This window comes from Homo sapiens, chromosome 12 (genome assembly GCF_000001405.40).
Source record: "Homo sapiens chromosome 12, GRCh38.p14 Primary Assembly".
In the NCBI taxonomy this organism is placed as follows: Eukaryota; Metazoa; Chordata; class Mammalia; order Primates; family Hominidae; genus Homo; species Homo sapiens.
Genome location: NC_000012.12, coordinates 5588922 through 5606333, shown reverse-complemented (window position 1 = coordinate 5606333; position 17412 = coordinate 5588922). Strand labels below are relative to the sequence as shown.

At 43.2% G+C, this 17412-nt stretch overlaps 1 protein-coding gene across 3 annotated transcripts in view; it reads left to right on the top strand.

Annotated features, from left to right (window-relative positions):
- The window catches only part of ANO2 (anoctamin 2), a 383578-nt gene that overhangs the window by 339899 nt on the left and 26267 nt on the right, over positions 1-17412 (top strand). For all 3 annotated transcript variants that reach the window (NM_001278597.3, NM_001364791.2, NM_001278596.3), the window contains one exon: positions 6705-6850. In NM_001278597.3, the coding sequence (NP_001265526.1) occupies positions 6705-6850 (146 nt within the window). The remainder of the gene's footprint in view (positions 1-6704; positions 6851-17412) is intronic.

Here is a 17412-nt window from a genome sequence, read left to right as displayed (position 1 = left end):
AGAGAGACTGAACAAGAGCAGCAAAGGAAATAACTAAATAACTCCTTCCCAAGGGCCTCTAATGAGATGCAAGGCCAAGTGCAGGATCTTCCAAAGGGTCACATGAACTGCCACCTCTACTTCTGGAAGGTGCCCCAGACAGGACCACTGTGGAAGCCCCACTCTCTGTCCAGGCATCTTCCATCAGGCAGCAGCCGCCCCCATCATTGCTAGGCCTGGCTTAGAGACCCTGGAGATGGGAAACAAAATGCTTCAAAGGGAGGCAGTAAAATGGGGTCACCGAGCACTTGAAAGGCAGCTCTGTGACTAATGCCATGATAATAGATAAAACTTGGTTGCGTGATCTGGCTTTGAATGGTCCCCACTCACACAACCCCAGGCTCTTGGGGCCTGACACAGTTGTGGCCGATGCTTCCCAGAGAGGATCGGATGGTTTTAAACATTTTGGGCCCCAGGATGATGTTCATACGCATCTCCTTCTGAGATTACTTCATACATGGCGAGCAGCGTGGCTGAATCTGATCTTGTGGTATTTATTATCTGAATCCATGGATGGGAATTTCCCTCCTCCCCTCCCTGCACCTTGCCTTTCCCATATATGTTCATGCAAAATAGACTTTGGATCCAGACTGCATAGTGCCCCCGAAACACATGCCACACCACAGCCCAACTCTTTGCTATAATTCCATCTCAAATTTAGCTCCGGTCCACATCGAAGCAAAATTGGAAATGGGCTCTTCTCATATGGAGAGGTGGGTTTTTGGTGAAAGGGTAAATGCCACCTTTTTCACGTACCACATTGTTTCCTGGGCATGCTTTGAGACAGACAGAGCAGATAGACAGATCAATACTGCCACGGTCAAAATGTCTCGCCATCTCTATTCTAACTAAAAGCTCCAGATCATATCCAAAAATAGCTGTTAAATGTACCCCTGGACACAGCTAGTAAGATTTCATAAACTTTCTGCTTTCTTTTTGTAAATGTGATAAATGTTATATTTCCAGACATAAAACAGGCTCTCTTTAAAGCCAACACGGGAGGGAGGTCTGTGTTCTCCTCAAATACAGTGGAATCTGGCCATAAATCAGAAGTTTAAGGAACAAATTTGAACCTTGTCAGGTATCAGGAAAAGGAATAGGAATACATAGCTTAGAAGTGGATGTGTTCCTCATCTTTGGTCATTTAGGGCTAGGTTCTGCCTTCTTTATTTAATGAGGCTAAAGATCTGTGGAGCCACGTCTGTAGGGACCTGTCTAGGGCCCAGATTCCTGCTGCAGGGAGGCCCAAGGTGTGATGGACACTCACCATGGTCCTGGGGTGACCCTGTGGGGCACAGGCAGAGGGAATGCTCTGAGCCTTCCGGAAAGAGTTTCTGAGACTTGTCATTAAAAAGGGACGGAAAAATAGCAAATTAAAAAAAAAAAAGAAAAGCAAGGGGGGTAACATCAAAGGAGTTACTTTAATGAGTGAGTGCATCATACGGTCGGAATCGTAATCTGAAGGTTTCCAAAAGCCCATCTGTATGTTATACAACTTCCAGGATTCCTGTTAAATTCTGCTCTGGAGGGACTTCCTTTATTATTATTTTTTTTAATGGTCACTGGGATATCCAGGAGGAAATCTGGGAATGATAAATTCACAGGACTATTTGTGGATATTTTCCCCTGCATTTGTTTTGACCTACCCACACTGGATGGGACTTTGATCACAAAGCCCCTCCCGTAGCCCCTGTGTCTTCCCTTGCCTTTGCCACACAGTCTTACAGTTGCCTTCTGTTCCCATGACTCTCCTTCTTTGTCCTTTGAAGGCTCCTTTCCCTCTATCCCATCCCATAACTTTTCTGACGCACGCTCTATCCATAGTTGGCATTGCTCATTCCTAGGGCTTCCGCCGCTCTTTCCACGATGATTCTCAGATCTCCATCAGTCCCAGATCGTTCCAGGGCTCTAGGCACAGATATGCAGTTGCCTACTGGACATCTCTACTTAGTTGTCTCGTGGGTTTCCCCACTTAGACATGGCAAGAACAACTCCTCCTCCTCCTCCTCCTCATCCTCATCAAAACTGCCTCTTACGTTGTATTCTCTATCGTAGCCATCGGCACCACCAACCACACACATGCCCTAAGACCATGAGAATCATCGCTGATTCCTCATTGTCCTTCCCTTCTGTGTACGATCCACCATCCACTTTTTAATTCTACCTCTTATGCATGTCTCAAATATATCTACTTCCCTTCATGTCCGTTGCTATCACCCCAGACTCTGCTACCATAATCTCTCGCCTGAACCACTGCATAATATGGTGTACAAGGTCTTTGATGCCATGAGCCTACACTACCTTTCAAGACTTACCTTTCATCATTTTCTTTTTTTTTTTTTTTTTTTTTGAGACGGAATCTCGCTCTTTCACCCAGGACGGACTGCAGTGGCGCTATCTCAGCTCACTGCAACCTCCGCCTCCCGGGTTCATGCCATTCTCCTGCCTCAGCCTCCCGAGTAGCTGGGACTACAGGCGCCCACCACCGTGCCCTGCTAATTTTTTGTATTTTTAGTAGAGGCGGGGTTTCACCGTGTTAGCCAGGATGGTCTTGATCTCCTGACCTCGTGATCTGCCCGCCTCGGCTTCCCAAAGTGCTGGAATTACAGGCGTGAGCCACTGCGCCCGGCCTCATCATTTTCTTGATTGTACTCTATGCTGCAAGCATTTTGAATTCCCTTCAGTCCTTTCTATGAGCCATTTTCACATTTGCCTTAGGCTGTTGCATAAATAACTCTCCCTGCCTAGAATAACCTCTTTGCCCCTCACACTCTCTCCACCTTTCTCTTTCTTCTTCTACCATCTTTCATTATTTAGTCTTAAATAGTAAGAGTAAATTATTTATTTAGTAAATTAAGTTAGTTTACACATCTCTTCCTCAAAGAGAACTTCGCTGCCTTAGGCCAGGTTAGGACTTTTATGTTCTCATAATCACTAAACTTCTCCCTTTATAACACTCTTATATTGGTCACTCTTGTTTTATTGGTCGTTATTGGTCACTTTTGTTTAAATGTCCCCATTGCCAGTGAGATTATTTCATCAAACACATCACATGTCTTATTAGTCACATTTTTTTTTCCTGGAGATGATTTCTAGGAATCCTCTGTTCTCCCGGGCAAACCAGAACTGCTCATTTGCTAAACCTTCTATAGAGCTATCAAGCTGAGTTGCTTCAATACCTTCTTTCTTTTGTGGGGTTTCTGTTTGCTGGATTCTGTATGTTTTCTTCCTTGCTTTATATCCTTGGTTGGTGAAATTCATCCTCCAGGAGCTTCATGAGAATGGATGCATGCATAAAAAGTTCATTTTTTTGAAACCTTGCATACTTAAAAGTGTCTTTAGTCTGTCTTTGACTTTCGTCTATACTTTGGCTGGGTATAGGAGTCTATGCTGAAAATTATTTGCCTTCTGAATGTAAATACATTTCTGCAGAGTCTTCTAGTGTCAAGGGCTGATCTGGAGAATTGTAACCTATTTTTGATTCCCAATTATTTGTAGAGGATCTATGTTTGTTTCTCTGGATCTGGAAGCTTTTAGAATCCTTTCCATTATTCCTAAAGTTCTGAAATCTCATGACGATATGTTTTGCTGGAGGCTTTTTTTTCACCATTATGCTGAGTGGGTCCTTCCAATCAGAAAATGCATGTCCTTCACCTCTGGGACATTTTCTTTTATTTCTTTTGCACTTTCTTCCCCACCATTGTCTCTGTCTTCTCTTTCTGATTAAGTGTTGGAGTTTCAGGCCGGGTGTGGTGGTTCGTGCTTGTAATCCTTGTACTTTGGGAGGCCTAAGTGGGTGGATCATCTGAGCCCAGGAGTTTAAGACCAGCATGGGCAATATGGTGAAACCCTGTCTTTACTAAAAATACAAAAAATATTAGCTGGGCCTGGTGGTGCATGCCTGTAGTCCTAGCTACTTGGGAGGCTGAGGTGGGATGATAGCTTGAGCCTGGGAGACAGAGGTTGAAGTGAGCCGAAATCACACCACTGCACCCCATCCTGGGCTATGCAGCAAGACTCTTGTCTCAAAAAAAAAAAGAGTTCCTAGATCAATTAATTTTTTAATGTTTTCTTTCCTATTGTCCATTTCTATGTCTGTTCTACTTTTTTTCCGAGAGATAGTATTGATTTTAATCTTTCTGTCATTTTATTGAATTCATTTCAGATCTAGATTTTTCCTGGCTCATTTTTCTCTTCAGAATAAACTTCTTGCCCCTGTTGGTATTGGGAAGTGCTAGTCACCTAGGCAACATGCGTACAGAGCCATTGGCGTCTACTGTTCCTTAAGCAGAGCTTTGACCAGTCACCACCCCCTGCCTTGGGGATACCTGGTGCCTCCAACTCCTGAGCCTTTCTGAGATTTACAGCATGAGTTGGCTTGTTTCTCTCTACCATCTTCCACTGTGAACAGTTGATACCAGTCACACAGCTTTGCTGACTCCCTCGTACACTGTCCGTCTTCCAAGATATTCATCAACATTCCTCACACACTACTATATTCATGACTATTTTCATTAATTTGTGGTTTTATACTTTTTAAAATTCATTCATTGGTATTTTAGTGGCATTTCAGAAGTGGATAAATATATGTTTATATTCAATTTTCTATGTATAATCAAAACCACTAATTTTTTACTAAAGATTTGAACACGTCGTCTGATTACTGTTCATGGAGGAGAAGTCTCACTTTGAATTCTGGTTCTAGACTTCCCTCACTTTCCTTTCTTCTTTTCTTCTCTCTCTCTTTGATTTTTCCTGCATCTTCTCCTTCTGTTCTGACTCACAGACAGGATCACAACCAGCTCACATATTTAGCTTCAGAATCTGTAGGCTCCATCTAGTTTTTTTTCAATTTTTTATTATCACAGAATTATTGCTTACTTTTTTCTTAGAAATTTTTTACTATGAAATTTTTCTTATGAAATTCTAAAGAATTTCAGCTCACTCTTTAAATCCTTCTGTGATAAAGATGATAATAGGAACAATGATATATTTGTCTATCTTTATTTATCTTGATAAATGTCTATCAGAGCATGTATCTTGGTACATGCTCTTAACATGTATCAAGCCCTAAATGAAGCATGCTGTATAGATTATGTCTTTTAACTCACCCTGTGGGCAAGTTAATATTTATTTCTCCATTTTAAAGATAAGAAAACTAAAGCTTATAGAGTTGTAATAACTTGCCCATGGACATATAGTTGGTGATTTGTGAAATCTGGTTTTATACAATTTCTGGCACCAAAGATGAGACTTTTATCCACTATACTACATCCTCTTGATAGGAAATAGGAATATTAGACCAGAAACTGATCAAAACATTATTTTGAACTATTAGATTTTCATTAGCTGTTAGAGGCACTTTCAAACAAGGATGGGATGCCTAATCATACCAGAAGTGCTCCTCTGGAAATATCTACACAGGGGTTGGGTGGTCTTGGGTGAAGAATGTTGGGGGACATGGGGAGGTTCCTACATCCAGATGAAGCATGGACTTCAAAATCCCGTTTAAACACTTCAAGTCTTTGATTCTTACCATTTTACTGTCTCCCAACTATTAGGTTGCTGCTTAAAGTAATTGCAGTTTTTGCCATTAAAAAGTAATTGCAAAAACTGCAATTCCATTCCCTGTACATTGTGCATCAATGGGAAGTATGAAATAACTCCACCCTAAGGTGTATTTTAGCATTCGGTATTAAAAATAATAACAGGTATCATCTATTCAATGCTTACTGTGTCCAGATATTGTGCTAAGGACTGTATAAACATTGTTTCACTTAATTCTTATTTCAACCCTGAGAAATTGGGCCATTATTATCATTCTACACCAAAAAAGTCCTGAATGTAGTTGTCTTAGTCTGCTCAGGCTGCTGTAACAAAATGCCATAGGCTTAACTGACAGAAATTTATTTTCTCATAGTTCTAGAGGCTGAAAGTTTCAAGATCAAAGTCGAAAAGGGTTGAATTTCTGATGAGGGCTCTTCTTACAGGTAGCTGCCTTTTCTCTGTGTCCTCAGATGGTCTTGAGATATCCCTTTCTCTCTTCCTCTACTCATAAAGCCACCAATCCTATTGAATTAGGACCCCACCTTTTTGACCTTATTTAATCTAAATTACCTCCTAAAAGTCATATCTCCCAATACAGTCACATTGGGGATTAGAGCTTCAACAAATGAATTTCAGCAGACATCATTCAGTCCATAGTAGTGGTGGGCAATGTTTAGCTTGGTTTTAATGGAAAGATGATGCTATTAATGTTATTGAGACCTGAAAAATGTTTCACCTAGGAGGAGAACAGACCTGTGTTCCCCCATGAAGAGGGTGGATAGATCACCTGTTGGACAATAGGACTGGTGCCGTCTCAGCATTGGCAGGAAGGGCCAACTCTCTTGTTGCTTGTCAGACAGCAGGAAGAATTCAAAAGTATTTTGGGGTTTGAAGAAACCTCATCCTTTGTGGAGGGAGTCTGCACGATCTTTATAAAGGACTTCCTCAGGTTGCCTTTAGGAGAAAAGTAGTCTCTTTAGTGTCTCTCTATCTCTACTTGTTTTTGGATCAGAGATGGCTTTAGTGTCAAAACTTTTGTGTTCTTTTTCTTTTTTCTGTCTGCAAAACCAACCCTGTTCTCCAGAGGCTTTTTGTAACTTAATCCATTTCTTTTCCAGGAAGCTAAAGAAACTATTTCGAAAGCTGAAAGATGAGACCGAAGCTGGAGAAACTGACTCTGCCCATTCGAAACATCCAGAGCAGTGGGACCTAGACTACAGCTTGGAACCATACACAGGACTGACTCCGGAGTACATGGAAATGAGTGAGAACCCATGGTCCTGCCTTCCACTGGGGGCAGGTTCAGACAAGGGGTCTGTGGGGTTGAAGGGGGAAGGTAGGGGATTGGGGAAAATGACTGGGACAGCCTCTGCTTCTTCATGAGCTTCATGGCTATTCAGTGTTCCCTTCAGTGCCACATGAAAGTTGAGAAGAATGGGGCAGAAAGAGACCTGGGAGGAGAACCTGGAGCAGCTCAGTCAACAGTTTGGTGGATAATTCTAGGATGATGTTCTCTTTTCCTTGTGATTCCTCTCCTCATCTATAAACTAAAGTTTGATCTCTCAGGCCCCTTTCCATGGTTTCTATTATTGATAAAGCTGAAAGGGAAATAGTACAATCTGAAATTTAAGAATATAGTTTCCATGAAAGTCTTCCTTCATGGAAAGTATCCGATGACACTTGGGTCAAGGATATCTACATTTTGACTTGGAGAATATATAAGAGCATCCCCTACTTTGATCAGATAAGGCTGGATAAGATGAAAGCTTTTTAACAAAAGTTGGGTCTATTTCGGTAGGGAGTGAGAGGTGTATTTCTAGTTGCAGAGCCTCTAGTTGTTTTCGATAAGGCTTGAAGGCAGGAGCACATGTAGTACAGGCTGATGGAACACAATCATTTTAGATGTGGCTTGGAAGCCATGAGTTCTTTATTATGAGAAGGGTCCCAACTTAGGCCAGCTGCCTTTGCACTGTTGGCTACTTGACTATAATCCTGATCTTCTATTGGGATGGATGTTTGAGAAGTCTCTTTCCAAGACTTGGGGCTAATGAATTAAAAGCATAGGATACCAAAGATCAAGAGCTTAGGTATAAGACGAGCGCAGTGGCTCATGCCTGTCATCCCAGCACTTTGGGAAGCAGAGGCAGGTGGATCACCTGAGGTCAGGAGTTTGAGATCAGTCTGGCCAACATGGTGAAACTCCATCTCTACTAAAAATACAAAAATTAGCCAGGAATGGTGGCAGGCACCTGTAATCCCAGCTACTTGGGAGGCTGAGGCACGAGAATTGCTTGAGCCTGGGAGACACAGCTTGCACTGAGCTGAGATTGTGTCACTACTCCAGCCTGGCCAACAGAATGAGAGTCTGTCTCAAAAATAAATAAATAAAGATCTTAGCTATAATGTCTAAACATTCTAAACATTTACTCAATGGGGAACCATCAATAAGATCCATCAAAAAAATCACTCAATGTTTAATTCAGTGCTTAGTATCATTGCACCTATCACTGTGTTTGCATATGACTCCTGCTCCCTTCACCTAGTCACTTGTAGCAGAGGGCCGTCAGTACCTTTTTGTGCACAGGCTACCTCACTCATCATTTCTAATGGGCATTCCTCCTATTCTGTTATAGGAAATTGCATGTGTTTGTTAGCAGTGGAGTAATGGGCAGGGTCTAGATCAGACGGCCATGGAAATATTGTCCTAGCCCTGGGATGTCTACAATTCTAGGGAAAGCCTCAACTTTGTAATCTGAAACAACTCACCAGAGAACAAACAATCATTAAGTCTGCTTCAGAAACAATATGTAAAGAAAATATCAAGACCTGGTTTAAGGAAACGTGTAGCCCCTTTATGCCTTTCATGTTTGGCTAAGAGCTACCTCTAATCCCTCTCTGATGCTGTATTTACACAAAGGATATTGCTCATATTTCAGACGCCATTCTACATCTGCCATTCTCTCACCCAGAATGAAAGAAAGTGCTGCCAGAGATTGGGACTTCCATTTGGGGAAGGGCCTACATTAGGAACCCCTGAGATCTGTTTGTCTGCCTCCACCCTCTGACGCCAGTGGTCCCACTTCCGTCGCCACCAATTAGCTGTGTGGGTTTCACATGCTTGTCAACCTTGTCTGTTCAGCTATTTCAAAGCTTCCTCTTTTGGGTGATTAGAGCAGAGACCCCAAAGTTTTCTAGTTTATGTATATAGACGTGTTCATAATAGCAAAGAATACATTCCACCTAAATGCTCATCAATGATAGGCTGGGTAAAGAAAACGTAGTACACTGTGGACTACCATGCAGCCGTGAAAAAGAATGAGTTCGTGTTCTTTGAAGGAACATGGATGGAGATGGAGGCCATTATCTTTAGCATACTAATGCAGGAACAGAAAACCAAATACTGGATGTTTTCACTTATAAGTGGGAGCTAAACCATGAGAACACATGGACACACAGAGAGGAACAACACACACTGGGGCCCATCAGAGGGTGGGGATGAGAAGAGGGAGAGGATCAGGAAAAAGAACTAATGGGTACTAGGCTTAATACCTGGGTGATGAAATAATCTGTACAACAAACCCCCATGACACAAGTTTACCTGTGTGACAAACCTGCACTTGCACCCCTAAACTTAAAAGTTAAAAAAAGAGAAATAAAACATTAAAATACAACAAAGAGGAGCAGAGACCCTTGAACCATACTTCCTGGGCTCAAATCCCAGCTTTTGACCAACTAGCTGGGTAACCCTGTGTAAGTTACCCACTTGCCCTTATCAAGACTCCTATGTGTCTTGATTTGCTTGCCTATTAAAAAAAGATAATAATATAATAGGATTGTCAGGAGTAGTGAATGAATTAGTATCTGTGAATAGAAGAGGGTCTTAGTGCTTAGTGCTAATACAGTGCTTAGAAGAGGGCCTAACACATACAAAAGCTGTGTATTAAGTGTCCAGTGTTATTCCTCTTAATGGTCTTGAAGCCTGAGGAAGGCAGAGTTAGGGAAATATACTCTACTTTGTCAGGGCCATGCCACTGAATACACATCTACCATGTTATTATGTGTTTCAACTTGGGTGCTTACCAAGAAATGAGAAGAATGAAAAAAAAAGTAAAGAACTAGAAGATTTACTTGGTGACTTTGGGAAGGAACTCACACCAAGATTGTAGAGAGTGAGATTCAGACCATAGACTGAAAAACCAGAAAGAAAAACAAACCCCAAACCCCACACCTTAAAATGAATAAAACAATCTTATACCTGGAATCTTGAAAACAGAAGAGAACCTGTCTCCCAAATCCAACCTTTTAATTTTTTTAAACCATTTTGGTGCTGTTTCTTAGACCCTTTTTGTATGTACATGAATTTAAAAATAAAATTTTGATCATACTCACATTTATTTTTTTATTTCCCATTATATGGATAAATATTTTAAGTTATCACATAACATTCAAAATGAATAGCTGCGTAATAATCCCTTTAATAAGCATGCCATAGTTCACTTGCCTATCTTCCAGTGAAGGCTTATTTAACAATTCTCCCTATTTTAATCCTCTATCTTTGTTGCTCAGGCTGATCTTGAGCTCCTGGCCTCAAGCAATCCTCCTGCCTCGGCCTCCCAAAGTGCTGGGTTTATAAGCACTATCTTTGTGCATATAATCTTTTATTTATATTATTATTTCACCCAGATAGATTCACATAGGTGTGATTAGGTATGGTCATTCTATGGTTCTTGATTCATTTTACCAAATTGCTTTCTGAAAGAATAAGAACAATTCACCCAGGCATGGGCAATATATGAGAATACCCTTTCAGTGAGTATAAATCACTTAATATCCTGAATCCTAAAGTCATGTGATATGAAAGAATTATCAGTGTATAGGAAGCTTGGGATTCCCAGCCCCCTACGCCACTCCATTCCACGTTGTTGACCTGAATATTCTAGACTCATCCTTAGCTTAGTTTTACACGGTGCTTCCTCTAGGAAGTCTTCCCAGGTCAAGCCCCAGTTCCTCTTGAGAGAAATCATCACTTGTTTCTGTCCTAGTATTGTGTTTGGTACACACGCTGATGGCATCTTACTGAATTATGGTAGTATTGCTTACACATATGTTTTTCAACAGACCCAGTCAAGGAGTGACTCTGAAGAGCAGTAGGTAGGGACCATGGCTTATTCATCTTCACAGCCTCCAGAGTCTAGCACATTTCCTGGCATATAACAGACACTCCAGGCCAGGTGCAGTGGCTCATGCTTATAAACCCAGCACTTTGGGAGGCTGAGACAGGAGGATTGCTTGAGGCCAGGAGCTCAAGATGAGCCTGAGCAACATAATGAGACCCTGTCTCTACAAAAAGGAAAAAGAAAAGAAAAGAAAAGAAAAAAAAACAGTAGAGTGTAGTGTTGTACACCTATAGTCCTAGCTACTTGGGAGGCTGAGGTGGGAGGATTGCTTGAGCCCAGGAGTCTGAGGCTGCAGTGAGCTATGATTGTGCCACTGCACACTCCAGCCTAAGTGACAGAGTGACACCCCATCTCTAAAAAAAACAAAAACAAAACTCAAACACTCGGTATGTCTGATACACAAAGATGAGGGAATGAATGAATGCATGCATGCGCTAATTAATGAGAAAAGGTTTCTTGACAGAGTTAACTCTATAATAATAACTTTACAAGACAAGTAAAGGATTTACATTTTCAAAGCAGGGCTTAATTGATGGTGAACTACGGATGTTCTGAAGAGGTTTCCAGCTGTAAGTGGGAGGTTGATTTAGTAATCCCAAGATCTCTTCTGATTCTGGAGATCTACATATAGATGATAAGAACAGAGAAGAGCACTCCAGGGAAAAGGACTGGCAAGTGCAGCGAGTCTCCTGGCCATGAGTAACTGTTTTTGTTGTTGTTGTTGTTTTGTTTTGACACAGGGTCTTGCTACATCACCCAGGCTGGAGTGCAGTGGCACCATCATGGGTCACTGCAGCCTGGACCTCCCAGGCTCAAGTGACCCTCTCACCTCAGCCTCCCTAGTAACTGGCACTACAGGCATGCACCGCCAAACCCAGCTAATTTGTTTGATTTTTTTGTAGCTGTGAGGTTTCACTGTGTTGCCCAGGCTGGTCTCTAACTCCAGAACTCAAGCAATCCTCCCGCCTTGGCCTCTGAAATTGCTGGGATTACAGGCATGAGCCACCACACCCGGCCACGAGTAACTGTTGACAAGGAAAAGCAAATGGTAGTTTTGAGGTATGGAAGGTTCAGATACAGACCTGGGATTAGTGGAAAACCCTGAAGACCAGACAGGTTTGCATTTCACATCAGACCATATGAAGTAGTTGTAAAATCTTGGCCAATGTGGTGACTGTATACTCTTTGCTTGGGAAATTGGGCAGCAAGTGCAGAGGAGGGATAGTAAGGCTCAGGAGGAAAAGAGAAAACACAGGTGCAAGAATTCACTTATCAATTCATTCATCAAACATTTATTAAGCACCTGGAGGGAGGAGCAAGTCTGGAGACCAGGACAGTCTCTTGAGCAATTCAGGTTGTTCCTGATATTGATTGAGTCAACAATTCAGTTGATATTGATGCAATCTTATCTGGAAGAGGAATCATACAGGGGTTTTTCAAGCTGGATTGGCTCATAGAATTCTTTAGTCTATTTTGCTATGACTTTCAATCTTAAGAGATGTGTTTTAGAGACATGGCTATTTTATTTCATATTTTATTAAGTGTGAGGACAATGTTTTCTGGATTAGGTTTCGTTCATCTCTTTTATCTCTGGACTATCCTCTTAATCCTTTAAGGACATACTTTTTCTCAAGTACAAAGACTGGGCTGCAGAATAACCCTCATTAAAGTTCATCAAGCAGCTAAGTGTGGTTAGGGGTGGTACTGCCGTTGAACCACTGGGCTTTCAAACCTAACCCTGCTGCATGCTAGCTACATGACTCTGGTTTTGAGGCTTAAAGTCAGCCAGGTCCAATTCTCCCATCTGAAAAGTAGGTTTGATGATAATAGCACCTACCTCATAGGACTATTCTGGGAGTCAGTTGATGCATGTAGAGTGCTTCCACATGTAGACCGTCAATGAACATTGGCCACCGTTGTTATTGTCCAGAGTTCAGTTTCTCTCAAATCTAGAAAGTTTTTGACTCAAAACAGTTTGAAGCTCCTGAATACGGTGATCTCTGGAGGTTCTTCCTGTACTGTGAGTGTAGGCTGTGCCCTAATTATTAAAGAATGAGGGTACCAGACCCCAAGGCATACCTAAGAATCAGAAGCCTGAGCTCTAAACACTCCAAGATGTTTGTCTTTTCAGTAAACTCTAAGCCCTCAGGGCTCTATTGACAAGTCTGGACTCTCAGATGGGCTCTTTTTGTCATCTGTTTATCTAAAACCCACAAGCTTTTGTTCCTCTAGTCATCCAAAAAATAATCGCTATTATAATCCTGCCTCAGGAATTCAATTATCTCCCTTACAGCCTTCCCCCAGCTTCTTAAATGCAACCACAGTTTTGAGGCCCTTGGGCTATTACTGTGGGTGATGAGATGAATTTCTTCTGTCATTCATTCACACAGTCATGAGAGCAGATCTTATTTTTCTTGGTCATGAGCTTATATCCTGTCAAACCCTCACAGAAAGGGAAGTGCATCCATGATTGCATGTTTACTTATTCATTCATTTGGAGTAAAAGCCAGATAATTATTTTGAAAGGCAGAGACCCCCAGCCTCTCCTGCTCTCTGGAAGTGTGCACCAAGGCCTGTAGAAATCACCGTGTCAAGGAAATGCATAGGGCAGGTTCCTCTCGGAGACCAGATGTTAAAGCTCTTGTGGCCGCTTTCAAGTTGTCTCCTGAAATGGCAAGTCTGAGCTTCTGGGTTCAGGAGGAACGCCTGTGGACTCTTAACCTCCATGACTACTTTCTGACTTTGCGTGAACCCTAACTGGGGAGAGTTTCTATTTGTGGATACTTACCTCGCTGACTTTGCCTCTACTGAGAATTTTGGATTCTTATTTGAACCCTCACCATTTCTCCTTGGAATTACTGGAAATGCATCCTAAGTTGACTCCCTGCTTCTTTTTCACTCCTTCTACCTTTCCTTCTTGCTTTTTAGAACGGCTTTTAAAAGATGCAAGCCAGATTGCATTCATTTTTCTACTTAAAATCCTTCAACGCTACAGACTTCTTTTCAGATAAAGTTCACACGCCCAGTGCAGCAGATGAGGTCATCCCAAGCTGGCTCTTGTTTTGCATCTTCTTGCAGGCCCGCGTGTGTGTATCTGGTTATCTCACACTCTCACGTCCAATTTGCCTATGCCATGTCGCCTACCCGTGACTGCTTGCTGAGTGTTGCAGGCTCAGACACATTTGCCCTTGGCACCATTTTCTCATTCTCCCATCCTCAGTTTTTCTCTTCCCCTCTTCTCCTGTACCTGCACCCTTTCAAACATGTGAGTGCTTTGGGGACAGGGACAATGTCTTATTCCTCTCTAGTCGCAACACTCAGCATGGGTACTAGAACCTGATAACACAATGAAATAATTATTAAATGAATGGCCTCATAAGTCCTTTTCCTTCATTGGTAGAGAAATAGAAGTCCCGCTTCTCTTGATCCCATGACCTGTGGGCCACCTTCTTCACTATGGACATATTTGTGTAATTTTTAATGTGCAATAATTTTAGTCTCCTAAGACCAAAATGAACCATGTTTATTATCAGAGTTTCTCTCAAAGAAAAGTCACTTCTGATTTTAATTTATTCCTTTCCCTAAGGGGTCAAGTCATTAGTGTTAGTGGACAGGGTGAGATGATCTCTTTCAGACTTGGCTCTGACCTCAACTCCAAGGCCACATCCCTGCCTCTGCAGTGACTCCCCTCCTGCCCTCCCCCGGGGCAGCGCTGTGGTGTCTGCACTGCTGCCAGGCACTGGGGACACAGAGACAACAGACATGCCTGTTCCCTCCAGAGTTTCAGGGTCTGGTGTGAGAGAGAGATGTGTGAAGGAGCTCAGGGAACTTCACCCCAAAGTATGACTCCCTGGCATAGTAAGTATTTTGATTTAAAGATCCTAGAGATGAACAGTGCTAAAGGAGATTTTTCCCCTATGTATGTAAAGACCAGTCAGACCTACCAAGGAGAACGATCTCTCCCACCCTTCTCTCAATCCTCTACCTCTCTCAACACACAGGCTGAATTTCCCTTAGCTGCCTAAAAGTCTGGACCTACTAAAGAAAAGAACAATTACTTCCAATCCCTTCCCTGAGTTTTCATGAACTGAACCCACATTGCAGGAAAGAAGACTAAAGTCGGTCAACAAACCTGGACAGACTTTTGTCACAAATCATTGTCTGCTCTGCAGATTCAATAGACTTTGCCCCAAACCATTGCATGTTCTTTAAGCCCATGAAATTCCTCTGAAATCACTTACTATCCCCCTAAAATCATCCGCACTTCCCACACCCTTTCCCCTAAGAAGCAGGGTATGTAAGCACCTGTACTACATTGGGATACTGGGCAATCACTCTGTGATTTTCCCCGTGTGCATAGCAGTAACAAATTGGTAGTTTTTGTTTTGTTTTGAGACAGTTTCGCTCTTGTTGCCCAGGCTGGAGTGCAGTGGCGCAATCTTGGCTCACTGCAACCTCTGCCTCCCAGGTTCAAGCAATTCTCCTGCCTCAGCCTTCCGAGTAGTTGTGATTATAGGCATTCCCGTCACGCCCTGCTAATTTTTTGTATTTTTAGTAGAGACGGGGTTTCACCATGACCAGGTCTCGAACTCCTGACCTCAGGTGATCTGCCCGACTTGGCCTCCCAAAGTGCTGGGATTACAGGTGTGAGCCACCACGCTCGGCCGCTAGTTTTTTCTCTTGTTAATCTGCCTTATCATGAGTTGGTTTTTCAGCAGACCTTCCCAGGACAAAGGGGAAATTCCATTGGCCCCCATATGGGCACACAGACAGTTATAAGAAAGGACCTACTGTTCTAGAAAATAGTTTGCCTAGTGATGCTTGCTGCAGAGGCTAGGTCTTTGCTGCTTCCGGTTGACCAGCAGAGAGGTGTGCTCGAAGATCGCCTGCTCTTCTCATTCTTTTGGCCTTGTCTTTGGGTTTTAGAAACCACCTACTGAGGCCAAGCAAACTCTGAACTGGATGCAGGAGGCTCTTCTCCCGCTTACTGCCCCAGGCTTGTCTCGAGACTTCAAACAAGGCAGGGAAGGGCCCAGACCAGAATCCATTTCGGGGAAACATTTCTAAGCCTTTCTGCCTGCAGGCTTCATACCCTTGACTGTTTTCTGAGTTCTGTGCCACATTAATGGCCCCACCATCCTCCAGGCCCCTGGCTGAGAAATCTAACATCACTGCTCATTCTCTGTTCCGTCTCCATGTGCCTCCCATCCAGTAGGCTTGCTGTGTCGACGATCTTTCCTCTAGAGCTGGGGTGTCCAATCTTCTGGCTTCCCTGGGCCACATTGGAAGAAGAAGAAGTGTCTTGGGCCACACATAAAATATAGTAACACTAATGATAGCTGATGAGCAAAAAAAAATCTCATAATGTTTTAAGAAAGTTTACGAATTTGTGTTGAGCCACATTCAAAGCTGTCCTGGGCCGTATGTGGCCCATGGGCCAGGGGTTGGACAAGCTTGCAATAGGGTATCTTAGGAATCTGCTGTGTCTGCCCTGCCTCCTCCCTGGTGCTTTTGCTTTTTCTTTTTTTTTTAACTACATCCTCAACACAGCCACTTGCAGCCACCACCGTCTCGCCACTGCCTCATTTATTCCTTCCGAGGTGTAGTGTTGGTCATATCCCTCCGGTGTCCAAAAACCATCAGGGTTCCCGTGCTCCTAGCGAGGCCCTCCCAGAGCATCCTTCTCGTTTATTTAATCCTAGGTCCTTCTCCATGTCCTGTGGTCCAGGAAAGTGAATCCTCCGCACCCTACAGCTCCCTCCTGCCCTGCCTGTCCTGAGTGCTCTCCCGGCCCTGGGCTTGCCTGCGCCTTCTCATGCGTGCATCCAAAGCCACCTCTCGTGTCACCTGCTCCTTACCACCTCCCCCTTCCCCCTGCCCCACAGGATTTCAGACAAGCTGTCTCCTAAAATAGAGATGCCTTTGGTAATTAATTTCCCAAGGGCCGATTCTTCAAATTGCAGGGCCTTGCCCAGCACCCCCCCGCCAGGGCATAGTCACTAAAAACATATTGGGTAAGCCTGTAAAGGGGGGTAACTGAATAAATGAGTGTATCATTTATGTCTTCGGCTTTCTCTTACCTAGGCTAACAGAATCTCACTTTCTAGTGATGCTGAGCCGTGGTCAATTCTCATTTATTTATGGGCTGATAATCCAGTGAGTGGATTATCAAGAGAGGTGGTTATCCTTATTTCTCTTTCTCCTCTTCCTCCTTCCCTGTCTCCCTCTCCTGCCACCCCTTTTCTTCCTCTGCCTCCTCCCCTCCCCCATCCCAGGCCTATTAGGCACTCCTTTCTAGCGAGTAAGCCAGGGAAATAAGAGAAGGTGTAACGTGAACCCACCCATGCAGTTCAAAGATCGCAGCAGCTCTGGGAACTAGCTTGGTGGGAGAGAAGATGAAGTTCACAGCAGATGTCAAAACTTCATTGGGGGCAATAGTTTCTGCCGTCTCCATGGATAACTAAGACTTGGCGGCAGTCACCTTATCATTACTTCTGATTTCTCTGCACCCTCGTCTTTGAAGTAAAAGCCCCTTCACATCTGCTGCCTCTTGTATCTTTAGATGACCATTGTAGGCAGAGTGAGCGTCTCTCCTTCCCATGTTCCCAGGGTGTCAGGTGAGACTCGGGTGCAGATGCAGCTCTGCTTC